The sequence below is a fragment of the Homo sapiens genome, chromosome 12, assembly GCF_000001405.40.
Source record: "Homo sapiens chromosome 12, GRCh38.p14 Primary Assembly".
NCBI classification, from domain to species: Eukaryota; Metazoa; Chordata; class Mammalia; order Primates; family Hominidae; genus Homo; species Homo sapiens.
In genome coordinates, this window is record NC_000012.12 from 64,984,234 (window position 1) to 64,993,354 (window position 9,121).

The 9,121-nt window shown below is 39.5% G+C and overlaps 2 long non-coding RNA genes across 2 annotated transcripts in view, besides 1 other annotated feature; one reads left to right on the forward strand and one right to left on the reverse strand.

Moving 5' to 3' along the window:
- The window catches only part of LINC02231 (long intergenic non-protein coding RNA 2231), a 71,447-nt gene extending 63,389 nt beyond the window's left edge, over positions 1-8,058 (reverse strand). The window contains exon 1 of the long non-coding RNA NR_146276.1: positions 8,044-8,058. This is a non-coding gene — a long non-coding RNA (long intergenic non-protein coding RNA 2231). The remainder of the gene's footprint in view (positions 1-8,043) is intronic.
- On the forward strand, positions 3,468-6,413 carry LOC107984522 (uncharacterized). Its single transcript, XR_001749177.2, has 2 exons — positions 3,468-3,622; positions 4,998-6,413. It is a non-coding gene; the product is annotated as an uncharacterized LOC107984522 (long non-coding RNA).
- Positions 8,395-8,921: an enhancer, noted in NCBI's record as "OCT4-NANOG hESC enhancer chr12:65386408-65386934 (GRCh37/hg19 assembly coordinates)". NCBI's record gives its function as "activates a minimal SCP1, AML or CMV promoter by ChIP-STARR-seq in naive H9 embryonic stem cells {active_cell/tissue: H9 hESC(naive)}" and the evidence as "EXISTENCE:reporter gene assay evidence [ECO:0000049][PMID:30033119]".

A 9,121-nucleotide genomic window follows, 5' to 3' on the forward strand; every position in this document is an offset into this window, starting at 1 on the left:
AATCAGTGGTTGCCAGTGGAGTGAAGGTTGTGGGGGAAAGATAAACAGGCAGAGCCCAAGGGTTGTTAGGGCAGTGAAAATACTCTGTGTGATGCTATAATGCTATATATATTGTTATACGTTAGTTCAAACCCAGAGAACATACAACAGCAAGGGTGAACCCTAATGTAAACAATGAACTTGGGTGATTACGATGTGTCAGTGTAGGTGCTTTGATTGTAACAAATGTACCTCTCTGGTGGGGGATGTTGATAATGGGGGAAACTAAACACATGTAGGGGCATGGAGTATATGGAATATCTTCCTTTTGAGTTTCTGTGAACCCAAAACTGCTCTAAAAAAATAAGGTTTCCTGGCCCAGCATGGTGGCTCACACCTATAATCCCAGTATTTTGGGAGGCCAAGGAGGGTGAATTGCTTGAGCCCAGGAGTTCAAGACCAGTCTGGGAAACATGGCTAAACCCTGTCTATACAAAAAAAGAAAAAAAAAATTAGCTGAGCGTAGTGGCACACACCTGTAATCCTAGCTACTCAGGAGGCTGAGGTGGGAGGATTGCTTGAGCACAGGAGGCTGAGGCTGCAGTGAACTGTCATCATGCCACTGTACTCTAGCCTGGGCAATAGTGAGACCCTGTCTCAAAAAATATAAATATATAAAATAAGATAAAGTCTTTACAAAATCTAAAAAGTGTGAATCAAGAAGCAGTGAAAAACTGGGGATACTAATTGAGTTTTCCACAAGAACATACTATGGAAGTTTAGGCAGTATCAATGGCTTTTCTGCCAATAGAAATCAAAGATATAGTGATATCACATTATAGTTGTTTCAGATGTCTCAAAATATTATTTTTGCTAATCACAACATTGATATTGGGATTGTTATTAAACCTGCAGTTAGACTGCCACCGATCAAGGTCTACCTGTCTGCAGATACTCAATGATATAGTTGGTCAACAGTTGGGCAGCTCTCTGCCTAGCGGTTATTTGAGCACCAAACACTGAGGTCAACCTAGACATCTATGTTGCTCTCTAGTATTCTTTTATCGGTATGTGAAGGTTTGTTTATTGCTATATGGAAAGAGGTAAGATAAGGACCATCCCAAAGTTTTAAGTTCATATTCAAATGAAGACCAACAGTCTTCATTTACACTGCTGTCTTTAAAAAATAAAATTTAACTTTAACTTGCCTATGCCTTTGGAATCTTTTATTTTACACATTTAAAAACATTATTCTGACAAGGCATTTCATAAGCTTCACCCAAGCACCAAAGGGTCCCATGACACAAAGGGTTGAAAAAGCCTCTACTCTATACACTTATTATCACCTAGCTCTTCTTAGAGACATGTTCTTTATACAAAGCAGCCTGCTACAGCTGTGTTATGGGCTGTGGAGCCAGAGTATTCAGTGGGCAGGAACGTGGCCTGACTCCTTACTGGACACACAGTGTGAGACATACCTAAGGGAAAATAAATCTGGCAGAAGAGTGAATAGTAGTAGAGGCTGTGTGGTCTTCTTCCCCACCCTCACAGACAGATTCTCTTGCAGAGATAATCTTGTAAGTTTTGGGCTTTTTTTTTTTTTTGCCTGAAGTTTTTCTTTTAACAGACTGGTGTCAGAAATGGGATCTGAGGTAGAACCTTAGTGACTCCCAGGAGGACCAAGTGACCAAATGAAGGTACCCACCAGGCCCAACTATGCCCATTGATCTCTTGTAGCAACTGAGATTGTGATTGAATTCTCTTTCAGATTTCAAGTTCCACAAACTTGTATTTTGAACTTTCTGAGTTTATTTGGACATTTTAAAATTTGGACTGGGCTTGGAAGTCATGACAGAAATAGGACTGGTTTCTGTAGGGAGGCCTCAGGTGTCTGACTGGGTCAGAAAGAAACTGAACTGGGTTCAGTAGGTAGGTGAGGTTACCATAAGACAGAGAATCATAGGTTCCTCTGGATCCAAGGAGTCTAGAACTCCTGCATCTGGAACTCCAGCCAATTTAATATATAAGAACTCTGGACCCAGAACTGTACTTTTCTTAAAAAAAAAAAAAAAGGATAAACCTTACCAAAGGTAACCTAGAGTTACAGTGGCCACAGTGGGAAAGTTTTAATCTAGACAAAATTGTTCACTTGTGAGCTGCATTAGAAAAGAGGATCCAAAATGCTTCAGAAACAAAGGAATCCTTTTTTTTCTAAACTGGTACTCAGAGCCTTCCAAAAGATTAAATGAATACAAAATTGCCACTCTAAAAGACTCTTTACAAAAGGTGAACAGGCACATGTCTTTATAGTAGCTATAACAGCTGTAGGGACCAAGAAGATCTCCTTGTATATGTTTTAAACCAAAACCAAGGAGTCCCAGATGAAAGAACCCTGTGCCCTAAGACATTTGCCTTTATTATAAACTGCTAGACCATTGGAAAAGAAAGTATCAATTTTTACACCAGGCATCTGACGGACCCATTCCTTTTGGCTTGGACTGATTCCCGACTAGAGGAAGCCTCTAAAGGCTTCACTCCTGAGACAATAATCAACTAATCTCTCAGAAATTAAAAAAATAGAATATTTCTTTGGTAGGGATTTAAAATCAAGTCTTAAAGATCCTCATATTTAATTGACTATTTCCAGAAAAATACTTGTAAGAATTATTGGTCTCTGTTTTTTTCTATTTGATCTCATGGAAACCTCTCTCTCCGTTGGGAACTTCTCCGTTGATTAAAACCCCTCTTCTCAAACCCCTGCTGACTATATGATCTGCCAACTTTGTCTACCTCTTTCTTGTTGTCATGATCTTTGGTATGCCCCAAAACTCTTTCTTGGAAAACAACAACAACAACAACAACAACAAGACAACTGATTGCTTTGTCATTCAATCTTGAAAACAAACAAACAAACAAGAAAATAACAAAGCAGTCTCTAACAATAAGGCAAGATTAGAAGTATCCATTTGAGTCCAGGCATACAAAATGCTTGTCCCTAGACTTCCATGGGCTCCACCCACTCAATATTCTAGCAAAAAGACACAAACTTTGTTTTTGGGAAAGAATGGATAGGCCCTTGGAAGAATAGATGGTGGTTTGTGACAAAGTCAGTCTATGATGGACTTCTGGCCTCCTCTCCTGTGATTTTGGGAATTTCTACATGGACCCTTTGGAAGTTTCCATCTGGAAACTTCTCCTTGTAGAGAGAGAGATATTAAACTAATTGGGCTTATTTTATGTATTAAATTATATGGGAAGCATTGTCAAATAATGCTAAACCTCCATTGAGTTATATTTGTATGATTATTTTATTAATATGTGCTTCAGAAATTCTATGAAATTCATAGAAATCTAATAGTCCTGGTGTAACACTATCAGTCTTAATTCTAGTTGTTATCTTAAAATGTTGTATGCAGCAATAACCAAATTTCCTTGTCAATTGCATAATCATTGTAATTAACTCTCATTAGATCTTTAAAAATGGCCACTTAAATTATGTGTTTTTGTCATTCACAGAAGGAAAATTGTTTACTCTGGTATCTTCCTAAGAAACTGTACACTTAAATTGTTTTGTCTTCAAGGAGATTCATAGAAAGGACTCTAACAAGTTTCTGATAACTTTAAGATTATACCATTAAACTAGGTAAGAATTTCCAGAACTCTAATGAAGAATCTGGTTCATAAAACTGCTAATCCAACATCAAGCAGAACAATAATTAATTAAATGCCAAGGAAATTCTTTGGCAGATTTTCATGCTAAATCAGCCAGTACTGAAATTGTTATGATATGCAATTTAAATGAACAACGTAAGACTGATCCAAGTCAAATTACATCTCTGATAATATTTATTTATTTATTTGAGATGGAGTCTCGCTCTGTTGCCCAAGGCTAGAGTACAGTGGCGCCGATCTTTGCTCACTGCAACCTCCACCTCCTGGGTTCAAGTGATGCTCCTGCCTCAGCCTCCTGAGTAGCTGGGGTTATAGGCGCATGCCACTATGCCTGGCTAATTTTGTATTCTTAGTAGAGATGGGGTTTCATCATGTTGGCCAGGCTGGTCTTGAACTCCTGGCCTCAAGTGATCTGCCTGCCTCGGCCTCCCAAAGTGCTGGGATTACAGGCCTGAGCCACCGCATCCAGCCTGATAACCTATTTAATAAACAGTGCTGTATACCTGAATTGGAGAAACAGAATTGGTATTTAAGAGGATGTAAATCCAATATTAAGCATAATCTACTGGAGAGCTTGGATGGCCATCTGGTCCTTCCTGAGTCCTTAAAGCTTTCATTATTAAAAGTTCTGCACTCTATAACTCATCATGGAGTAGACAAAATGATCCAAATTATGGAAAATTATTGGTGTGGCGACTGTTCAAAAATTGCTAAAATGGTTTATAACCAATGTTTGGTCTGTCAAATCCATAATCCCAAGAAGACAAAAAAACATTCAGATGGTAAATTTCTGCTACCTGATGGGCCATTTGAACATTTATAAAGGAATTTTATCCATTTGTCACCTTCCATGGGATATGAATATATTCTTGCAATGGTCTATGTTCTCTGGTCACATAGAAGCTTTCTATACAGGAAGGCCAATATTATAACAGTAGCTAAAAGATGATCAGAAACATGTTTCCTTTATATTCCTGGAGAAATCTCCAGCAATAGAGGTACCCATTTTGCTAGAAAAGTTATAAAGCAAATAAGGTGTTATGAACACAATGGCATTATCATTGTCCCTATTACCCTTGGTCTTCTGGAAAGGTTAAAAGGAAAAATGGCATCTTAAAACTGAAATTGGGAAAGTTAACTAAATAGATTGGATTGCCTTAGCTAAAGGTATTACTATTGGCCTTGATGGCAATCAGATCCACCCCCAGTGGAAAACATACATTGATCCCTTATGAAATAGTCAATGGAAGGTCTAGGCCCCTAATAATAGGACCTCTCCATCTCCTAAACTCTGATATGACTAAATGCTTCAAGGTTTTAATTTTTAAAGCAAAGTGTATTTTCAGCAGGTAAAGGAAGATTTTCATGATTCACTGACTGAGGACAATCAAATTCTTCACCACGTAGAACCTAGACATTGGGTCTTTGGAAAGGACATCAGAGAAAGACTGCCATTAAGCTCCATTGGAAGAGACCATATCAAGTTCTTTTCTGCAGCAAACCATCAGGCTCTCAAGTCTTGGATCTATGTCTCTCAACTCAAAAGAGCTCCTCCAGACTCCTGGAACTGTATACCTATTGGAGACTCTAAGGTAAAGCTCACCAGGGAAGATTTCCCCCAGGAGCAGTTGGCATCCTAGACTTCAACAGCTTTCGTAAGATTGTGGATCAAGACTTCTCTGCCATCATGAAAGTCTTATCTTTTCCCTTTCTTCCCAATTTCCTGCTGTCCCAGTCCCTTTCTTTTACTTATAGGAAAATCCATGGGGCCATAATCTGTGGATGGCTTTAGCTAAGTCTTATGCTGTAGTGAAAAAACAGAGCAATTGTTGGGTTTATGAAGATAAGCTAGTTTCTACTGAGGAAAGATTCCAGTGGCATTCCTGGGGGCTCAGTCTTGGTACTAGCAGGGTACTGGTAGTATGGAATTTGAAAGTAATCCATAAAATGAGAAAAATCTTGGGTTTGACCAACCAGTCCCCACAGAGGTTCAGGTGAGTAGAAGTCATCTTTTGAAAACACTTAATAAAACATCATGCAGTTTTGGATCCTGTTTCCTTAGACACTGCCACCAAATACATAAAGGAAATTTCTCAGAGGAAAGAAACATATGACATGTTCATAGGAGCAGCAAACCATTGGTTTGCAGGTAGGCTTGGCTTTTCCAAGGTGTTCTAACCTTTATGCTCTTCTAATGGTTCTCCAGATTACTATGACTTGTGTTAACAAGATAATGACAACATTGGATACCTCTTTAAATCAGCAAACTGCAGTTCTTAATCATTATCACCTCCTGAACAAAAACCATGACCAACGGTACTCAAATGCTTTTGAGCTGCCTGTAAGGGAGGAGACCACCCCTCATATTGTCTTATGCCCAATTTCTGCCTCCAAATAAAGAAGAAGTAAAAACTAAAAGGCAGAAACGAAATCCACAAGCAGACAGCCCGGTGCCACACCCTGGGCCTGGTAGTTAAAGATCGATGCCTGACCTAATCAGTTATGTTATCTATAGATTACAGATATCGTATAGGAAAGCACTGTGAAAATCCCTGTCCTGTTTTGTTCCGATCTAATTACCAGTGCATGCAACCCCCAGTCATGTACCCCTGGCTTGCTCAATCGATCACAACCCTCTCAAGTGGACCCCCTTAGAGTTGTGAGCCCTTAAAAGGGGCAGGAATTGCTCACTCAGGGAGCTCAGCTCTTGAGACAGGAGTCTTGCCAATGCTCCCGGCCGAATAAACTGCTTCCTTCTTTAACTCGGTGTCTGAGGGGTTTTGTCTGCATCTTGTCCTGCTACACCTATATTGCCTGAACTTTGATTTGGGTCAAATTGATTTGGTTGGCAGAGGCTCCTGTTAGAGAGTACACCTCAGGCTTTTGGAATTTTTGGTGTTGTCCTTCTGATAGTCATCATAGTAGCTCCCCTGGTGTACCATATCCTCTCAAGTCTTAAATATTTGTATGCAGCCATCCACTGAGTGTTGAGTGGTCTCACTTTGACTTGATCATCAAGAACATAAAGAATTATTCAACTGGTGTGATGTCATGACTTGTGAATTTCATGCTGAGACCAAATAAGTTTGTTTATGATGGTGACAGAGAGTGGTATCAATGCCCCAGGTTTTGAGAGGTGGCATTGTTAAACTAAATTTGGGGGGATTGTTAAACTAAATTTGACCTGAGAATGCCTCCATACCTGAGTCCTTACTAATGAAATGCAATGTAACTTAGTACTCACACTAACTGAAAACCTGGCTTAGGCATATACTTTTGTCACAAATGAGTCACAGCCAATCACAGCAGCTGAGCTTCAGTCAGTCACAGGCAGCCAACTCAAAACACCATGTTCACATAAAGCAAATGCTGAATAAGGCAAACACCAGCTGTAATCAATGGAGCTCTGTACCTCACTTCCATCTTCTGTTCATAAATGCTATCTGACCACATTGCAGGCCAAAGTTTTTCTGAACTTGTTCTAGTTTTGAGGGCTGCCCAATTCGTGAATTGTTCTTTGTTCAATTAGACCCTGTTAAATTTAATTTGTCTGAAGTTTTCCTTTTAGCAACTGAAGCATGCAGCAGGTCTGACATCATTAGGCAATTGCAATTCTCTTTCCTGCAGAGCTAAGACTCTGCCTCCTGCCTGATTCTCAAAGCAGAGCTCCAGGGAGCAGCAACACTAATTGTACAGGGCTGGCACACTAGAGAAAACCGATTTGCTACCCCAGCTTTAGGGCTTTTTCTAACTTCCCTCCAAAAGGAAATATACTAGTGCCCTGCTCACTCCCTGAGGTACTGTCTTCGCTAAGGTATGATGCTTGTTCATGGATTAATGTGTTTTCCCTCCAGGTATATGTTTCTATTTAAAATGCAGAGAGTGTTTTAATGTGGAGGAATGACCCTAATGATAGAAGTTTTAATAAGTCAAATGAGCGGAAAGGCAAGACAATATAACAAAAAGAGCACCAGTTTTGGCATAGCAGGCACTCAATAAATGTAAGTTCCACTTCTTTCCTTGTGCTGAGTGTCTCCTAATTACCTAGCACTATGGTAAATGCCCAAGAAACTCTAAGATATAAACTTTTGGTTTAAGAAGGCTTTATTTGTACTGATGAGATGATATGAGAAAATACTTTCTTTTTCTCTAAATACTATTACATTGTAGGCAGCAGACTGGCCAATACAATTAATTAAACTTTAGAAAGAAAAGATAAAGCCAGTCATCTGCTATGTAGTCTATGCAGTCCCAAAACAGCAGCTGAGTTTTTTTCACGGAACTCTTCTGGGTATTGGAAGGCAGACTAAATACTTTACTTGCTGCCCAGCAACACGAAGATGGAAAACACATCTTTTGATTAATTAAAAGCAAAAGGTTGGAACTACTTACCTTTCCATTCTTTAATTAACAAAGCCCACAGGCCACATGAGGAAGTAATAACACTCATTATGTTGTGATGAAGGACTGTGATGATGAGTTAAGTCAGATGGGACTCCAGGCACGATTCCCTTCAAGGCTTCCCCAAGACGTGCCCCGAATGTAGACAGATCCTTACTTGTTGAAGAACTGTATCTCACCAGTGCTGGCATATGCTTCTTCAGAGAGTGCATTCCCTTTTGCAAGGGAAAGAAAAGTCCTTAAAACAAAAGGTTATATTTTAATTAAGCCTAGGCATCCTTTCTGCAATTTCCTTTGTTGAAAGAATACCTCCTTTGATTTGTATCTGTTGGTGTTAGTCTTTGGAATAAAAAGAGATTGATCCCTTCCAGGCAGAACTGTCCCAACTGAATGATCAAAAGCCTTGCTAGCTGACATACAAACCAACAAATTATTTTCTTTTTCTCCCTTAAATCTCCCAGGAAGCACCTTTTGAAAGATAGTCTTCATTCCCCAGGCTTTGCTCACCATCCTTCATGCCAGTGGGTGGTCTCAAGGAATTTGAGGAAATGGCAAACACTCATTCTACCTGCAGGTGGAAGCCTGACCTCCTGCCTTTCAACTTCCTCCAGAATCCTTGGAGGGTTTTTTCTTTTCTTGTCACCAAGGCACCGCTGAAATCTGTTAGTCAAATAGCTTTCTACCCATGAGGAAAGTGAGCTTTGATATGTATTTGCTTCTCATTCAGCTATAGCAGCACCAGTTAAGATGCTGCCACCACATGAATGTAAACGAAAAATAAAACAGCAGGCTCAGTTTTCATTCTAAAGTCCACTCTCTGATGGGAATAAGAAATAACTCAATAGCATTAGTATGGAACATTGGGTGTCAGGATTTTTGCCTTCATTTCCCATCTTTTTTTTGGAAATTAAACTCAGTACCTCTATTATCTTTAAGAATCAGGGATAGTGATGATATTTTTCCCCCAAGAAAGAAAATAAGGGCCTATAAAAATGCTCTTTTTAATGCTCTCAAGGGGAAATGCTGAATTGAGAAGCAATTGGGTTTTCTAGAAGTCCAACAAACGTAC